This window comes from Homo sapiens, chromosome 2 (assembly GCF_000001405.40).
Source record: "Homo sapiens chromosome 2, GRCh38.p14 Primary Assembly".
In the NCBI taxonomy this organism is placed as follows: domain Eukaryota; kingdom Metazoa; phylum Chordata; class Mammalia; order Primates; family Hominidae; genus Homo; species Homo sapiens.
The window spans coordinates 23,576,287-23,594,979 of NC_000002.12; the positions used below are offsets into that span (position 1 = coordinate 23,576,287).

The 18,693-nt window shown below is 51.3% G+C and overlaps 1 protein-coding gene across 2 annotated transcripts in view, besides 1 other annotated feature; it reads left to right on the forward strand.

Annotated features, from left to right (window-relative positions):
- KLHL29 (kelch like family member 29) overlaps positions 1 to 18,693 on the forward strand; it is a 323,428-nt gene that overhangs the window by 191,108 nt on the left and 113,627 nt on the right. The window lies entirely within an intron of this gene.
- Positions 6,111 to 6,254: a silencer, noted in NCBI's record as "fragment chr2:23805267-23805410 (GRCh37/hg19 assembly coordinates)". NCBI's record gives its function as "represses an EF-1alpha promoter that drives an FKBP-Casp9 reporter gene in an ReSE screen in phorbol 12-myristate 13-acetate-treated (for megakaryocytic differentiation) K562 erythroleukemia cells {active_cell/tissue: K562(+PMA)}" and the evidence as "EXISTENCE:reporter gene assay evidence [ECO:0000049][PMID:32094911]".

Here is an 18,693-nt window from a genome sequence, read left to right on the forward strand (position 1 = left end):
AGAGCAAGACTCTATCTCAAAAAAAAAAAAAAAAAAAACGAAATATGCTGAGCGTGTGAGTTTTATTCTTCCACGATATTAGGCTGAGGAGATGATATTGAGCAAAATATATTGTACCCATAACTCATATTAATGGGAATTCAATAGTGGCAACTTGTCATCTGCTGAGATTAGAAGGGAACGTTATGAATATTGTGTTATAATGACATTAAAAAGGCGTTCTGAATTAGGTTCCATGTACCACATCGGGTTCCTTGTAAATAATTGAGGAAGAAACTGGTGCTTGGAATTTGGGATTATCCATTTTTGAGATCCCAGCAGTTCCCTCACCGGGCTGATGGGGCCCCATTGATCTGACCACTCACCGGACCACAGGGGAAGTCTGCATCTGGCACGGCCGATGGCTTTGTAAAATGAGCACCGAGCAGAAATTAGTAACCGCCGCGTCCAGCAATGGACTGTGCGTTTTTCCTCCAAAATCTTCCCAAGTCCAGATATTCTGTGTCCCTCGCCTCCAGTCGCTGGAACTCTGGTGGCATCTGAGTTGGCAGCAGCCTTCCCACCACCACTCACACCCACCTCTGGCCCCCTCAGTGGCAAAGACTTGAGCCTTGATAGACCCGCGGTCAGATAGTCAGTCAGGCACCAGCAGCTTTGTCCCTGGTGGAAGAGCCAGGGTGTCCGGCCACCACCCATCTTCAGGTGGGCTTTTCAGTCCTGCTGTCCTGTCCTGAAGGACTCCACCACCTGCTGGCTGTGCCTCCAGATCCTCAAGGCCCCAGGATGGAAGGCAGCCTGGAGCTTCACAGGCGGCCCCACTGCAGTGCGTCTTCTTTAGTTCAGACCTGGTGTCTCCACGTGGCTCCATGAAAGACCAGTAGGAGCCAGTGCAGTCGCTCACGCCTATAATCCCAGCACTTTGGGAGGCCGAGGTGGGCGGATCACCTGAGGTCAGGAGTTCGAGACCAGCCTGGCCAACATGGTGAAACCCCCTTCTCTACTAAAAATACACGAAATAGCCGGGCATGGTGGTATGAGTCTTTAATCTCAGCTGCTCGGGATGCTGAGGCAGGAGAATCGCCTGAACCCAGGAGGCGGAGGTTGCAGTGAGCTGAGATTGCTCCATTGCACTCCAGCCTGGGCAACAGAGCAGGACTCTCTAAATAAAAGGGGGGTGGGGCCATGCGCGGTGGCTCACACCTGTAATCTCAACACTTCGGGAGGCTGAGGCGGGTGGGTCACCTGAGATCAGGACTTCAAGACCAGCCTGGCAAACATGGCGAAACCCCTGTCTCTACTAAAAATACAAAAATTAGCTGGGCGTGGTGTTGGGCACCTGTAATCCCAGCTACTCTGGAGGCTGAGGCAAGAGAATTGCTTGAACCTGGGAGGCAGAGGTTGCAGTGAGCCAGGATCATGCCACTGCACTCCAGCCTGGGTGACTAGAGCGAAACTTCATCTCAAAAAAAAAAAAAAGAAAAGAAAGATCAGTAGGGCTTCCTGGCCAGAGTCAGGTCTGTCATTTAGTTATCAAAGCCCAGAACTTGGCTTGGAGCGGGGGTGGCTGCCTCCAAGGAAAATCTGAAAGGAGAGTAGGGCAGAAGCAGGCAGATGCTCATCCTGTCTCTGTTCGGAATGCCCTTGAGATCTGACCCTGTGCCATCGAGGGACTCCAGGAGCAGAAGAAAGCTTCCTGTGACCATGGCCGACCTCGTGGGCCATTCTGAAGCCACTGAGCATCAGTAAATTATGCGATTCCTCCCTATCATTGGAGTGTTGTTTGTCCCTGGATTTCCAGTTTGACTTCTGTCCTATGGCATGCCTGAGGGTGCCAAGAGACAGGAAGAAGCTGTTGTGATTTGAGAGGCAGTCAGGGCCAAGAGGTTTCTCTGCATGCAGGTGAAACCGTCAGTCGCTTAGCCAACCACATTAATCCTAGCTGGGGTACCATTGCACACCAGCAACATAAGTACTTAACACACCTCTTGGCCTGCACAGCGATGGGATTAGGAGCCCAGACTCTAGATTCAAACTGTCCAAGATTGCATCCGGACTCTCCCACTTTCTAACTGTGTGACCTTAGCAAGTTGCTTACCCTCTCAGAACATTGGTTTCCTCTTCTATAAAATGAGAGAATAATACTATCCATTTCATTGGCTTGTGGGGAAAATTAAATGAATTAATAATACAAAGCACTTACATCAGTGTCTGGCATCCAGAGCAGACTCTGTAAGCATGATCTGTTATTATTACCATCGTCTTCATTGTGTGACCTCCTCCTCTCTGCCTGTCTCTTTCCCTCTAGAATGAAGGTCCTTGAGACAAAAGACCTGTCCTCTTAGGTTCTGCATTGCTGGCACCTCCCGCTTGCCTGTTATGTGCTCAGTAAATATGTGTTGAATTATCAAGTTGAATTGTGGGTAGAAGGTGTAGTCATGGAAATCCACTCGCTTTACTGAAAAACAGCTGTGCACTTTTGAAAATTATATTTCTTTTCCACGGTCGTATATTCTCATTTCAGAGGAGCCCCGTGGCTGCCTCTCATCCTTTGTGTGGCAGGCATCTCGGCAATAGTACTCAACAGTCTACAGATCAATTAGACATGTATTGGCATGCATGTAGCACCTCGCTAATTAAAGGAATCCCAAAGTCAGGCATTTTGCAGAGCACTTGCTGTGCCTCCATGAAATGGGAAATCATCGCCTCTATCTGATGTTCTCAAGCCCAGAACCCGTGCCCCCGCCAGTCCTGGACTCCGGCTCCCGTTCTGTTTGTTGGTGGTTGTGGTTATGGTTGTTTTTGTTGTCATTGTTCTTTTGTTTTTTAAGCCATTTGTGGAGGGCCAGGCCCTGTGCCAAGAGCTTTCCATGTTTTGTCTCCATTCTTAGAGCAACCCCATGTGGTAAGTCTACAGTTCTGCCCATTTACACACAAGGAAACTGAGTTTTGGAAAGCCTGAGAACTTGCTCAATGCGCTAGCTCATACGTGGTATTATGGAAACGGGGCTTGAACTCAGACCTTTTTTACTTCGAAGCCTGTGACTCTAACTCCCAGTTCTTTTCCCCAGATGTCTGCCCTTAGGTATCTGCCAGAACCTCAGATATAAAATTCCCAGAATGGAGCTCCATATCCTCAGCCTCAAAGCTGTGCCTTCTTCTGCATGCCTGGCTCAGGGCTCAGGTTTCCCGCCCACCCAGCAGGTGCAGCCACATGACTCTTCCCTCCCTCGCCATCCTCATTACTACCCATCAGTGAGCTGAGGTCCACCTTAGTAGATTTCTGGAGTCTACCCTTTTCCCTCCAGTCCCACTTCCACTGCCATAGTCCAGGCCCATCATATCTCACTTGAGGGGACAGAAATTGCCTCTTCTAGCTTCCTGCCTCCAATCTGCCCACTCTGTCACATCCATCCTTTTTTTTCTAAATGTGCAGTTACTCCATACTTGCCCTGAAGGAAAAGTGGCTTAAGACCCTTGGCGATCCCACCTCTTCTGGCTTCACCAAGCCTCATCTGTCACCTCTGCACCCCCGCCCCCATGGGTCTTACATTTCAGCCAAATATCAGCTGCATGCCCCAACCCTGATGCGGGTGAGTTCAGCTGGAGCATGTGTGAGTGACCCCTGGTTCTGCGCCAGGCAGAACACAAATCAGAAGGAACTCTGGCCTTAAAGACAGGCAGCCTTGGGTTCATTCCACTGGTAAGCTGCTTAACCATTGTGTGGCCTCTTTTTCCTCATCTATAAAATGGAGATAACAACAGTACTGCCTTAAAAGAAATTCCACGTAAAAAATCTAGACCAGGCCGGGCGCGGTGGCTCACGCCTGTAATCCCAGCACTTTGGGAAGCTGAGGCGGGCCGATCACGAGGTCAGGAGATCAAGACCATCCTGGCTAACATGGTGAAACCCTGTCTCTACTAAAAATACAAAAAAAGCTAGCCGGGCATGGTGGCAGGCGCCTGTAGTCCCAGCTACTCTGGAGGCTGAGGCAGGAGAATGGCGTGAACCCAGGAGGCAGAGCTTGCAGTGAGCCGAGATCACGCCACTGCACTCCAGCCTGGGTGACAGAGTGAGACTCTGTCTCATAAAAAAGATCTAGCCCATTAGGCCAGGCGCGGTGGCTCACACCTGTAATCCCAGTGCTTTAGGAGGCCGAGGCAGGTGGATCACAAGGTCAAGAGATCAAGACCATCCTGGCCAACATGGTGAAACCTTGTCTCTACTAAGAATACAAAAAATTAGCTTAGCGTGGTGGCAGGCGCCTGTAGTCCTAGCTACTCAGGAGGCTGAGGCAACAGGATTGCTTGAACCCAGGAGGAGGAGGTTGCAGTGAGCCGAGATCACGCCACTGCACTCCAGCCTGGGTGACAGAGTGAGACTCCGTCTCATAAAAAAAATCTAGCCCATTAGGCCAGGCGCGGTGGCTCACACCTGTAATCCCAGTGCTTTAGGAGGCCGAGGCAGGTGGATCACAAGGTCAAGAGATCAAGACCATCCTGGCCAACATGGTGAAACCTTGTCTCTACTAAGAATACAAAAAATTAGCTTAGCGTGGTGGCAGGCGCCTGTAGTCCTAGCTACTCAGGAGGCTGAGGCAACAGGATTGCTTGAACCCAGGAGGAGGAGGTTGCAGTGAGCCGAGATCACGCCACTGCACTCCAGCCTGGTGACACAGCAAGACTGTGTCTCAAAAAATTAAAAATAAAATCTAGCCCATTCTAAGCAAACAGTAAGTGCCCAATAAATGCTGGTGATCATAGTGAAATACAAATTCTGTCTTAAGAATAAATTCCTGGAGGCTTATTTTTTTTTTAAAGAAATAGACTCACATCCGAGAAAATAAGGAGTGTAGCATTTAAACAATGACATCTTCTGGTTTCTCCATGTTCTTCTGAGGAAGTCAGACACCCCTTGCACCGTGGCATGGCTTGAGTACACTTGAGCATCTCCATGTATATGATTGGTCCTCCTTTCCAGTCCCCACTCCCCACCCGGTCTTCCTTCCCACCGTTTTGAACATCACATGGATTCTCTTTCATGTATTCATTCAACAAATACTCATGCTTTGTTAACTTAGGAGGTTCTATGGCTCAGCTGGTTGAGGATGAACCTCTGGGAAGGCAGCTTCCCTAATGTCAATGACTCCACTTGCGATGGAGTGTGCGCTGAGTCCCAGGCGGTGACTCCTGATCCGCCTTCCACTGTGGCCACGCACACCTGGTACTGCATTGTGCTGGGGCTTTTTAAAAACTTTTAGGCTGGAGGCAGTGGCTCACGCCTATAATCCCAGCACTTTGGGAGGCCGAGGTGGGCGGATCACTTGAGGTCAGGAGTTCAAGACCAGCCTGGCCAACATGGTGAAACCCCATCTCTACTAAAAATACAAAAAAAGTAGCCGGGCGTGGTAGTGCGTACCTGTAATCCCAGCTACTTGGGAGGCTGAGGCAGGAGAATCGCTTGAACCCGGGAGGTGGAGGTTGCAGTGAGCCAAGACCACACCATTGCACTCCAGCCTGGGCAACAAGAATGAAACTCTGCCTCAAAAAAAAAAAAAAAAAACTTTTATTTGAGGTTCAGGGTTCATTGTGCCGTTTTTAAGTGCTGGTGTTCACCTTCTAAGCTCCACCTTTGAAAAACTCTCCCACAACACAACCACTCATCAAGTGGGTTGCTTTCTGATTACCTTGAGGGTAGTTTGTCCTCCAGCCTTCTCCATCTGAGTCCAACCCTCTGGCTGCTCCAGCTTTGTGGCCTCAGATACCACGCCAGGGTCTAGGAGCAAAGGCAGTGCTCAGGGGCAAAACAGCTCCTATCAGCCTCACGCCTCCAGTGACTCCCAGCGCCAATAGTTTTCTCATCAGGGCAGGCCACAAAATGAAGAAGAAAAATCTTTCTCGAATGGAAAAATAGGGCTGCTGCTGTTTTATGGTGGTGTGCTTTATGGTTTTCAAACATTTTAATTAGTTTCATTTTTTAATATAAATGCACCCTGATGTTTTGTGCAGGAAGGGCTCCATTCTTAAAATCTCAGAAATAAAGTAGGAAAATGACAGATTGGCTATTAAAGCGTCACACTCAGATGTATTATTATTATTATTGTTATTTAACATTTCTGAATGCCAACACTGAGCCAGAAGTGGGGGTGGAGGATGGGGATGGTGAGAAGATCCGGGGACCCCTATGACTCAGGGTCCTGGTGTCAGGGGTCCCGGGGGCTTGGCAGTTGCTTTCTCAGCCTCCTGAGATTGTCCTGCCCCTCCAGGAACTTCACAAGATGCCAGTCATCTGGTTTATAGGCTGAAGAGACAACTGGGTTGCCTAGGCTTTGTGTTCCAACCCTGTTCTTGGCTCACCTGTGAACTTGCTACAATTTCCCAGTTCCACTCCCCATCCCATCCAGGTAGGGATTTAAGCTATATTTCAGGGTGGTAAGGTGGGCCACTTCCAAAGGAACCCATCTCTTCTTGAAAACATTCAAACTGATGAGAAAGCAGAATTTTACTTTCAGGGCACTCCCCATGTAGTAGGTTAAATAGTACCCCACCCCCCAGCCAAATATATGTCCACCCAGAATATCTAAACGTGACCTTGTTTGGAAATAGGGTCTTTGCAGAGGTAACTAAAGTAAGGCTCAAGATGAGACCATCTAGATTGGGGTGGGCCCTAAATCCAATGACGAGTGTTTTTACAAGAGAACAGAGAAGGAGATTTGACAACACAGAGAAGGCCACGTGAAGACGGAGCAGAGATGAATGATGCCACCATAAAGCAAGGAATGCCTGGAGCCACCAGAACTGGAAGAGGCAAAGGACCCTCCCCTGGAGCATCCAGAGGGGGTGTGGCCCTGCTGACAGCTTCACTTCAGACTTCGGACCTCCCAAACTGTGAGAAGGGACCTTTCTGTCCTGTAAGCCACCCACTGTGTGGTCGTTTGTTGCCGCAGCCCCAGAAAAATGATACCCCATGGACACCCCATGGAAGGGTCTCTTCCTAGCATCTCCTTCAAGAAGGTCCATCCGCGTGGGACTGGATTTTTGCAAAACATGCTCTTGATGCTGTGAGTTTAATCCAGGAGCAGCAGGCTGACCTGCTGACCTCGTCTCTGCTGAGTTGAAATGAAACACCATCACACCTTCTTCCTTGGTGTCGAAAAATGTTTCTACAAGCTTCCTAATGATCACCTGCCTGCTTCCTATAACATATGGACTCCAATTTGGAAAAGTTTCAAAGGGCGATTAAAGCGAGAAGCTCTAGTACTCCCATGTCCCTCTCAGAAGGGAAGGAGCTGGGTGCGTCATTTACGTGCAGTGGTGTCTCCAAGGAGGGGCAGACTTGTGAGTAGGATCAGACACTCGATGTGGCCTCCATTTAAAGGGAGCCGACATTGGGACTCTTACGTAGCTGGAGTAAGAAAATGGAAACAGACGTGCTGTACTGGTTATAACCCTCACAGAAAGCTCTTGATCAGACTCAGAGAGCATCAGGGAAATTCTTTAAATCAAAAAACCACATAAGCCAAATAAAAGCTCCAAGCCCCAACCACTCCCCTCTTCTCACAGACTTTAATTCAGAAGAAAATTCTCTTTGCTGCCATCTCTGCTCCTCTTTATCTTGTTGTAATTGAAAGGAGAAAAAGTGGGCAGATTCATGGACTCGGACACTCCTTCCCGTTAAAGACTGTGCTTTGACTGTGTTATTGCCAGCAGGTCATTTTATAGAATTCCAGGAAGGAACTGGTTCCAGTGATCCACGGTGGGCCTTCTAGAGACAGAAGGGCTCCACAAACCCACCTGCCTGGAGGAAACTATACCCAAATGTCAGCCGAGGCTTATGGGCCTATTTTAGAAGATGAGCGATCCCCAGGCAGGCTCCAGCCGGCCTCCCAGGTCTGTGCCGTGTTTTTCTCCAGCTGCTCCCCTGGGCCTGGGTATGAAATTAGATGGCAGCCCACTGTTTACCCAGCTGTTGCTGGTGCCCAGAGCCCATACCGGGGCAGGCGGCGGTGCTGCTCAAAGGATATTTATTCCTTAACCGCCCAGGGACTGGGGGCAGAGCTGCGTACCCTGCTCCTGGAAACAGGCACCCTCCTCCCAGCTTCGCCCTCTGGGGATTAGAATGGCAGAAACTCTGGGACTAGGGAGGATCCAAATTTGGAAAGTATTGGCTCTGCCCAGCGGTGTTCATGCTCGTAATTTACGTCTTGGAAGTGATTTAATAACTTGAGTTTAATTTCTTTGGAGGAACATGGCAACAGCCTGAGCTCATCACGTCCCTCCAAGCCTTTGGCGACATTGTAATCCCAAACTGGCAGTGCTGGAGAAAGTGCCTAGACTTACTCTGGGCACAGAGGCTGGGGCGGAGGGGGGCGGTGCCCATGAGGGACAGAGGAAGTCAAGAGGCCCAGCACTTTGTCTAGGAAGTTTTACTCAGCCTTTATTTTATTTTATTTATTATTATTTCTTGTTTTGAGACAGAGTCTTGCTATGTTGCCCAGGCCGGAGTGCAATAACACGATTTCAGCTCACTGCAACTTCCGCCTCCCAGGTTCAAGCGGTTCTCCTGCCTCAGCCTCCTGAGTAGCTGGGATTACAGGCGCCTGCCACCATGCCCAGCTAATTTTTGTATTTTTAGTGGAGAAGGGGTTTCGCCATGTTGGCTAGGCTGGTCTCGAGCTCCTGACTCAGGTGATCCACCCACCTTGGCCTCCCAAAGTGCTGGGATTACAGGCATGAACCACCACCGCCAGCCTACTCAGTCTTTAAAATAAGGAGATTATGCAGAAGACACAGACCGTAGTACCAGACCCCAAGAGCAGGAAACGGCTGTCAGATTGGGTACACACCCGAGTGGGCTGAATGAACAGGCTCTGTCGGCCTAATCTGCAAGTGACTGCTCGCCAAGAAACCACACCTGTAAAGGTTAGGGCAGTACTCCCACGTGCTCGGCAACATGGCAGCTGAAATCGGTATAAGAAAGGAGATGGATTACAGGAGGTGGAATCCGTTACTGAAAGATTCTTGGAGTCTAGCGGTGATAGCTGCAGCTCACTGCTAACCGGGAGATTTATGTGACAAGATTATCAATGGTATTAAGCACATTTAGAAGAGAGGATTATACCTACTCCTGGGTCAGTTCTGTGCCACCAGGCCCTGTTCTGGCCAGCGTGTTAACAGATGGACTGCCGGCTGCATGAAGGTGAAGCTAAACATTTGCACAGTCACGAGAAGAGGGGAGGCTCAGATGATGAGTTCATTGCTGGGTGGCTAAGTTCAAATCCAAGGGAAGGATCTGGTTTTGGGTCTCTGCCAAATCCTAGGAAAGATCTATTTCCACCTCCTCCCTTTCTGCCCCCCAGGCTCCCCACCACCATGCCCACCCCTGCCAGCCTGCCCAGATTTTTGGCTTGGTGAACTCCCTCACCAAGGGGAGGGGACCCATATGTAACTAGAAGCAGGAGGGCGGTGTCGGAGGCTCCAAGGGGTGATAGGAAGGAAACAGTGCCAAGCCCACCAGCCGCCCTCCCAGAAACGAACTTCCAAGCAATAGCAGACTCTGCTCCAGAGAAGGAGAAGCACTTTATTTGCTCTACCACCGGGGAGAGTTTAAAATTAGACCAGGCGAAGCTCAGGAGGATATGCTGTTGGGAGCAGTTCTGGTGGCCTTTGGAAGGGTTGGCTGGGATGTGGCTGATGGGCTTTTTTCATTCCCAATGTTTAAGCCTAGCCTGGAGCCAGGACTATGCAGAACGAGAGCACACAGAAGGCCTCTGGGGAGGCTTAACTATCTAGGGACACCTCTCAGCCCTGTGTCAGGAATTGTTGCAGAACCCTTGAAGTAAGCAGAGCTTAAATGGAGTGTGACCTCAGAAAATGCTACTTAAAAAAAATTGTGGTAAGCGATACATAAAATAAAATTTGCCATTTTAAAGTGTACAATTCAGGGGTGTTTTGTACATTCCTAAGGCTGTGGGACCATCACCACTATCTAGTTCCAGAATGTCTTTATCACCCCAAAAGGAATCCCCATACCCATTAAGAGCAGCCTCCCCCCCATTCCTTCTACCTAAAAGCATTACTTTTTTTTTTTTTTTTTTTTTTTGAGACGGACTCTTGTCCAGGCTGGAGTGCAATAGCGTGGTCTCAGCTCACTGCAACCTCCATGTCCTGGGTTCAAGCAATCCTTCTGCCTCAGCCTCCCAAGTAGCTGGGATTACAGGCACCTGCCACCATGCCCGGCTAATTTTTGTATTTTTTAGTAGAGATGGGGTTTCACCATGTTGGCCAAGCTGGTCTTGAACTCCTGACCTCAGGTGATCCGTCCACCTGGGCCTCCCAAAGTGCTGGGATTACAGGCATGAGCCACCGCGCCCGGCCAGCGTTACTTTTTAAAGTAAGGATCGGGGGATGACCTCAGGAAACGTCCATTTAGCTGATGTTGGGGAGGGAGAAGCCCTTGTGCTTGAGCTTAGCCCCTCCTTGGTGCCCCTCAGCCTCGAGAGGGCTGCCTGCCCCTCTCCCTTAGCACACGCCGCATTGTAGTTAGTTGTCTAAATGCTCTCTTCCCCCCACGGGCACTGCCAGTGTCTGATTCCTCTCTGTGACCCCAGCTCCTAAAACAGCAGGGAGTATCTCGCAAGCCTCAGCGACATTTGTTGGCCGGAAGGATATAAAAACCAGTCATTCAGTAGCTGATGTGCTCCGTCTTATTGTTGGGGGATATAACTCTTTGTCCCAGAGTTGTCATACTTTTGATCCCTGCACAGAAAGAAGCAAACCCAGAGTAGGAAGAACAGGCCTTTCATGTCGCTCCTTTTAATTAGACGCCCTGTTAAATTGCAGCAATTTTGCACTGTGGTTCCCTCTCAGCGTGTCGAGAAGCTCTGAAGACGCTCTTAACCAAGGAAGCCAGGAGTTCATTTTATTCTTTTCCTCCTTATTTTCTTCCAAAGGCCAATTTACTTTTTTTTTTTTGGACATTTTGCTTTTTGCCGGTGCTGTTCGTTGATATTTGTGTATATAACAATGCTCCTTTCATAAAGGAGGTGAGCGTGGTGGAGTGGAATCCTCAGGGCCCCCCACTAATCACTTTTGATGGAGTAAGACTTGGAGAATCAATGATTTTGCCTTAGAGTCAGAGGAAATTTGCTGTTCTCAAGCCCTCGTACATGGAAATATAAGCCACCAGGAGAGCCCAGCCTCCCCCGGGCTACCCGAGTCCCCCCTCCACTGCCTGGCAGGAGCTGGAAAGATCAAAGGGACAGATGACAGTGCTTGGCGCCCATTTGTCACTCCATTGGAGGGAACCAGTTGCAGTGTTAACAGTCAGGCCTGGTCCCATGTTTCATGAATATTTGAGAATGTTTGCTGGCAGAATTCTAACTGCGCTGTGTCCTCCACGGCGTACGTGTCACCCATATTCCAGAGCCTAATCGGAGCTCTGGGGGAAGGAAGCACCACTTCTCCATTAGATTCCTTTATTATCCTAAAACATGCCTGCTAAGCGGTTCCGTGTCTGGGGTCTAAAGTCCGTGTGGTCCTTCTCATTCTTGCTCCTCCAAGAATCCTGACGCATGGGCAGGGAAAGTGTTTTATTGTTATGGACTAATAATTTAGAGGCTAGGGAAGGAATGGCCTTGTGTGCTGGCCTCGTTGTAACAATTTTTCTCATGTGTCTTCCAGCCTGTTCATCTGTCGCGTTTATTTCTAAAAAGTCCTCTCACCTGCCCTCTGCTGTCCTCAGATCCCATCCACGGCCCTCACCTCCCTCATCCTTCTCTGTAACCTCTGACAATTCTGGATGACCTGGTCCCCGCCATGCACTTTGGGCTTGCCCCTGCCCTGTGAGTAGCCTGACAACCCTGCACACACCCCTGGGGTGGTGCCAGTGCCTGCTCCTCCTCCTGGCCTCCCTGCCACCCAGCCCGGCATGAAGCTGAACATCGAGTGGGCCCCAGGAGAGAGGCTGAGTTGGTATGGCCAGGACTCTCCCTTGGCCCAGTGGGAAGGTGCACCTGCCCACTTGGGAGCAGGCCTCAGCACCCCTCACCAGTTTCAGGTTGCCCACTCTCAACAGCAGCTAAGTCAGAGCTCCGAGGGCTGCTCCCCACCCACCTTCAGCCTCCCAGGCCTCCCCTTGCCCGCCTGGGCCCTGGAGACACATGCTTCAGCCACAGGCAAGTCTGTTTCCCTTCCATGGGGTTTTCTCCACACCACAGCAGTGGTACCTCTGGGCTTCTCTCCCTGGCCCCTGCCCCAAGGAGCCCAGATCCAGTGTGGTGCTTCTTAGACTGTGGTCTGAGGCCTCCTGCTTATAGAACAGGCAGATTCCCAGACATTGCCTCTCCCCTAACCAAAGTTTATTGATTCTGAGTCTCTAGGGCTGTGGCCTATATTTGCATTTTTAACAATCTCCCTCGGGACTTTTTATGCACTGAGATTTGAGGCCAGGGTTGTTCTAGGCTGTACCGGCAGGTGGACTGGAGGCCACAGAGAAGAGGCAGAGTGAAATTGTGCCGGGCCTGGCTTGGAGCACCCACCAGCCCCCGGAAGACAAGTCTCACCCAGAGCTCTCCGGTTAAGCCTGCCGAGAGAGAGGCACCAGGAGGCAATCTCCACACTCTCAGACACCAGCCGTACCCAAAGATTGATGATTTCAGACACCGGGCCTCCCGGCCACATCCTCACTGCCTCACTCACGCGTCACACCATAGCTCTTGGTTTATGTGTTTGTCTCCTGGTTACACGTGTGTTCCTCGAGCCCCAGGATGCGTCTTATTCATTCTTCTCTCCACCCGCCCACTGGGGTTTGATATGTTGAAGTTGCTCAATAAATGTCTGTGAATTTAATATAATCAAATGGCTGAATTGAGGCAGAAATGAGCCAGGCGGCCTTTGCGCCCCGTTCCTGGGCTTGTGCCTTGCCTGCAGGAATGGAGAAAGGCCTGGCCTGCCTACACTTCCCCTGGTGAAGGAAATATTGATTTTGCTGTTTGTTTTGCAAGGAAGCTGTCCCCACTGGGACAGCCAGATCTAGAGCACATGAAATGGAAACTCCGAAGAAGGCAGTGCGCTGGCAGCTGGTCTATTAATAGGGCGGCCTGGGTGTGTCCAGGTGGAGGCGGCCCTGGGCCTGTGGGGCACCCTTGGAGCTGTGGCCTTGGGGACCAGGGTTATCCCGGAATCCCGCCACCCACCCACCTCGGTTTAGCTCCACTCCACACTGCTGTGGAGATGTGAAACGTGGCAAAGTCATTTGCAGGTTGCCTTTTCAGTGGGAGCCAAGTTGAGCGGCCTTGGCCCCAGGACCCCAGAGAAGATCTCCTGCCACCCCTGTTGGCTAGAACACAAGGGTCAGCAGACAGAAAGCCCATTTGGGACCTGCAGAGAAGTAGGCTTTTCCTCTCTGCCTCAGAGGAAAATCTGAGTTGAGCAAACAGTCCAACTCAGCAGCCATCTGGATGTTACATGGTCCAGAAGCTAAATCCAGCACTCTGGTTACTCAGAACAATTCTCTCAGGAGCCTTCCCAAATTTGGGACTCAGTGACCTTTAAAGGGGGTGCTAGTTCTGTAAGCACAGGGCAGGTGAGGCTGCCATGTACAGCTGTACAAGCTGTGCACTGAACAACTGTCAACGTCTATTCTGGGTCCTGCCATATTGTGATAACTTGCAAAGGCATGCAGCTGGCATCCTGGGAGAGCCCAGCCAGCCCTTCCAAAGGGAGGCTGCCTAAAGACCAGGAAATGGAGCAGCCAGCTGTGCTGGAAGGCCCAGTGTTCAGACACCTCACTTTACAGACAAAAGCAGAGGCCTAGAGAGGGAAGGGAGACGTTCAAGGTCACACAGCATCTATGGAAGAGCCAACTGCATGGCTGGGCTTCCTGGCCCCAAGCCCGCTCCTGCCCCTTGCCCGCTTTTCTTCTGTTGTATTCCTCTGATACTCTCTCTGCCCTGGGACCAGGGAGGGATGCAGCTTTGAAAGAAGCACACATTCTGAAGTTTTTTTGCCTCTGCCCAAGCAGAGTTCTAGCTTCTGGTTTTCTCGAAGGCCCTCGGTCGGGCAGGTCCTTCTCCCTGCTGTTTGTTCCAGCTCAGACCTATATGTTTTGTCCATTTCACGCTCCACCTCCTGCTCTCCCCAGATTGTTTCCTGTAGGTTTTGTTTTTGCATCTGCCCCTGCCAAAGTATGTGGGTTGACGTGGAAGACCTGAACACTCTGGGAGCCTTTGAAGCAAGGATGGATTTATTCCTTTCAGGCCACAGACGCCATGCCGAGGCCCTGGTTCCCCTCCAGACCTGTGCGAGGTCCTGAGCATGGCCCAGTGCATGCTAAAATCCCCACCCACACACAGAGGCTGCGGATCCATCCCCGAACTTCAGGGGCAGCTTCTGAAGTCCAGGCCACCTAGAACCAGGGTCCCTAGCTCCCCTTCTGGAACCCAATCCCCTACATGGCCCAGGACCCAAGCAAGGCAGGGAGAGTGCGCCGTGAGTCAGCAGCAGATCAAGTGGTCGTTTATTCAGCAGCGATGGCAGCCAGAGGCCCACATCCATGCATTCATTCACTCCATAGATAAGTGTTTATTTAGGATCTACCGTGTGCCTGTGCTGAAGTGAGAGGCCCTGATCGCCACAGACGTCCCTGCCGCTGGGAGCTCACATGCTAATGGGTGAAAGCCGATGACAAAATAAGTCAGGAAATCTCAGATGGCCCAACGACCCCCCTGAGAAATAAAGCAGGAAAAGAAGTCTGAGAAATAAAGCAGGAAAAGAAGTCCGAGAGCGCCAGGCCGGAAGGTGGGGAGCGCTGCGACTTTAAACAGCACACTCAGGGGACTCTGAGCAAAGACCTGGCAAGGTGAGGGGCAGCCATGTGGGTATCTGGACAAGCATGTTGAGGCCAGGGGTGAAAAGGAGCAACGGCCCTGAGGGAGGGGTGAGGAACAGACAAGAGGCCGGTGCCCTTGGGGCAATTTAGCTGTATCTCTCCGGCTGCCCTGCAGACTAAACAGGACAAGGAAAGAGCCAGGACACAGTCCGCAGGCTCCTGTGTCCTGTCCCGTCCCAGGCCAGCCCTCTCTGTGCTCCTGAGCCACATGACAGCTGCTTCCTGGGCAGAGCCTTGGGCGTCCACAGCACTTCAGACTCACTTCTTCCCCCACGTGACTCTTCACATCTCAGCCTCCCCCTGGGTTTCCTGATGTGGAGCCCCCATCCCAACCCCCATGTTCCCATCCGCATGTCCCTGACTCCTCCTGCTCCTTACCCCCCACAGCCAGTGACTACTCTAGGTCTGTCCATTCTGTTGTTAAACCTCTCCACTGTCCATCCTGTCACTGCGTCTGCTCGGCCACCGTGCTGGCCAAGGTCCTCGCCCGGTCTCCTCTGGACTGCTGTAAAACCTCCCATGGGTCTCCAGCACTCCATCCTGTCCCTCCAGCCTGCCCTCTCTACCCTCCAGAGACCCCCATCCACAATCAAGATAGAACTCGCCTTCCTCGTCGCGTTCCAACCTCATCTGCTGCCCACACCCACCCGCCCCTCAGGGCAGCCCCCCTGGGAGCGGTGCACATTCTCATGCTGCTCGTTTCAGCTTCTGCCCTCACTCCTTCCTCTTCCTTTATCTCCAGAAACCTGGTCCTAACCATCTCTTTCCTGAAGTCTTTCTTGCCAAGCCCGTTTAGCCTCAGAGCAGCTCCCCTTAGGACTGCCAAACAGGCATCTGCCGTGACTTGGAGCACGGAAGGTTTTCAGCAAATGTTTGTTGAATGAGTGAATGATGGGCTTTTCTTGAGCACCTACTGGAAGCGGGCTGCACCCACTCACTGCTGTGGAAATTAGAGACCCTCTGGAGGGGCCCATCCTCATCAGTGGTTGGTGGCCCCAGCTGGCCTGCAGCAGCAGTGGCATTCACAAAGGGAGCCAGCCAGGGGCACAGGAGCACGTCAGAAGCCCGGCCATCAGGCTGGTGACCCCGGCTCCAGGGCCCCATTAGTCCCAGGGGTGCCGATTCCCATCCTGAGCCCCTGGTTGCCCACCCAAAGCTCCAGGCCACTCTGACCCTAAGACCCAGGAGTCCTAGAGGCTGAGCCCTGCTGTCTCTGAGCTCTGCTTCCTGGAGCTGTTATTTGTGTCCTGGGGCAGCTGCTCGGGAACATTCTGACCTGGGAGCCAAGCAGGGACCTAGCAGTTGAGCTGCCCAGAGAGAGGCTCAGGGTCCACATGGCCGCAGGCCGGGGGCCTCTCCAGGAGCACAGAGATGTGTGCAGGCCCTGCCAGGCTGGCTGCAGCCTGGGTCTCCTCTGAAGTCAGCCCTGCTTTGGGGTCGCATGGAATTTTTAGTGCAAAGCAAGAATCCATCCTCTTTCCATAGTAGACCTGACAGGGATGTGGCTTATCTGCCCAAAAGAGAGGGAAGAACCAAGAGCTTGCAATGACCTTGCTCCTTCTCAGGGACAGCCAAGAGGACAAGATTCTTTATGAATCTGTTGAAGCAAACAGACCATCTCCTGGCCCCCAAAGGGGAATGGAAGTCCCGGTGACCTTCTGCAGGTAAGCTGGTGTCCCCTCCCTGCAGGCACGTTGGTCCAGGAACTTTACACTTGACCCAAAAGCCTCTCTTGAGAGATTTCCACCATTTGGTTTTGTAGGTCTTTAAGACTTTTCCCAGCTACCCCACTGGTCTTCTCAGGGCTTCATTGTTCTCTGCTCGAGTGCTGTGGTTTGTGTCCACCGTGGAGTCATGCAGAAATTAGCAAGCAGGAGCGGGTGGGGATATTGAGGTCCTAGATAAGTTGAAGTAGACTAGAGATGTCCTTTGGGAAGGGGGCCACCCCAGCTCCCGGGAGTCCTTGGGCTGGAGGTTGTCAAGCAGGCTGGAGAAAGAACATCTTTGTCACCAGCGTGCCTCCTCTGGTGGCTTGTTGACTGTCCAGGACTTCTAATGTGATCCTGAGGCTCAAAAATGAAGAAAATCAGTCACTGATCCCAATGTTTTATTTACTAACCCTGTGGATGCTTGGGAGCATTCAGACACTGGAAGGTTTGGGTTGGATTTTTCACATTCTTTTCTGTGTGGAAGAGTGGGGGTGGTCATACAAGAGGGGTGAAAACAGGGCCTGCGGTGAATAGCTGCACAGCCCTTTTACTCTCCCCAAGCCCGGTCTCCAGGCCTATGTGTCTAACAGATGCATCTATTCAGTGCATCTGTTTGGTGCTGGTGCTTCTGGGTCCCCTTGGACAGCAGAATGTGTATGGGTCTCCCTTTCCTGTGGGGTGGTTCCTCTCACCACTCCTTTGGGGCAGTGGTGCGGAGGAGAAGTGATGGAAGGACGTCAGACCCCTCGGGGAACGTGGGGTCAGGACCAGGGTGGTCCAGGGAGCCTGCTCCCATCTACTGTGCCTTGACACCTAAAACCCAGCTGTGAAATGCAGTGTCTTCACCTCGGAAAGCCCTCCCAGGGGCTGCCCTTACAGTTTAGATATCTCAGCCTGCACAGCTCCAAGGCAGTGAATTCTAAGGGAGGACCCTCATTTTACACATAAGAGGTGGGAGGGCCAGGGCACCCTGTGGCCAGGCGTGTCGCCTACGTGCTTGTTGTCCACAAGCTTTTCCTTCAGGGCCCCTCCCTCCCTGATTACACAGAGCCCGGGCCTGGGAGAAGGGTCTGATCATTTCCCTGCCATGTCTTCTCTGTGAGCCCTTGTGCCTCAGTTTCCCTGCCTATCAAACAGGAATAACCATCTCTTCCTCGTCCACTTCACAAGGTAGTTATGAGACTGAAATGAAAGGCTGGGTGTGGCAGCCCTTGGAGGAGGGGATTTAATGACAGGGGTGTCGAGGAGTTGATTATACAGCAGAGGTGGGAAGGTTCTGTTTTCTCTGCCTGGCGCGTTGCCTTGTTTACCAGACCGGCCTTATTTGGGAGTGCTCCGGGGAGTCGCTGGCTTCATGGAACATGCAGCGATTTCATGGTAAAGCCGGGCACTCAGAGGTGGAGGTGTCACCATCTGGAACCAATTCGCGTTTTCCTGAAGTCTGAGGCGCCCGCAGACTTCCTGCCCGGCTCCTCCGGGCTCTGGAATGGCTCCCACCTGGACCCAAGACCAGGGACATTTCGTTCCTCCTGGATTGTTCTAATCCCAGACACTCAGGAGCTCACCCCCGGCCAACACCAGTGCCCTTCTTCGCTGACTTCTTTTCACCGTGTTTCTGTAAACACATTAAAAATGGCCTTCCTGCATTTCAATTCTCCATCTCTCCTGCCGTTTTCTCTGTCCCCTGATTTCAGCCTCCAGGATTGAAATTCTTTCTCCTGGTCTCCATGAGGAATTGGTGAAACAGAAAAAGCAGGAAATTAATGTCCCAGCCTCCAGGCTCCACAAAGCATTAGATGGAATTAAAGTAGAATAATGAGTCAATGCACACACAACTCTGTTGTTCTTTGACTTTTCCTTTCAAAATTCATGTAGTGAATGCTGCTCCCATTCTACATCATCTTGGGCTGGGAGACACACTAGTGTCCTGAATGAATTTACATACCAAATGGGTTTTAATTTTATATTTTTGCTTAAGGTCAGGACATTTATTTATTATCATTATTTATTACTGAAGCACGAGTGGTTTTAATTATTTTAGTGTTCCTCCTACAAAGCAGGATAGCTGCTAGCTACAGACCATTTTCCGTTTCCGCT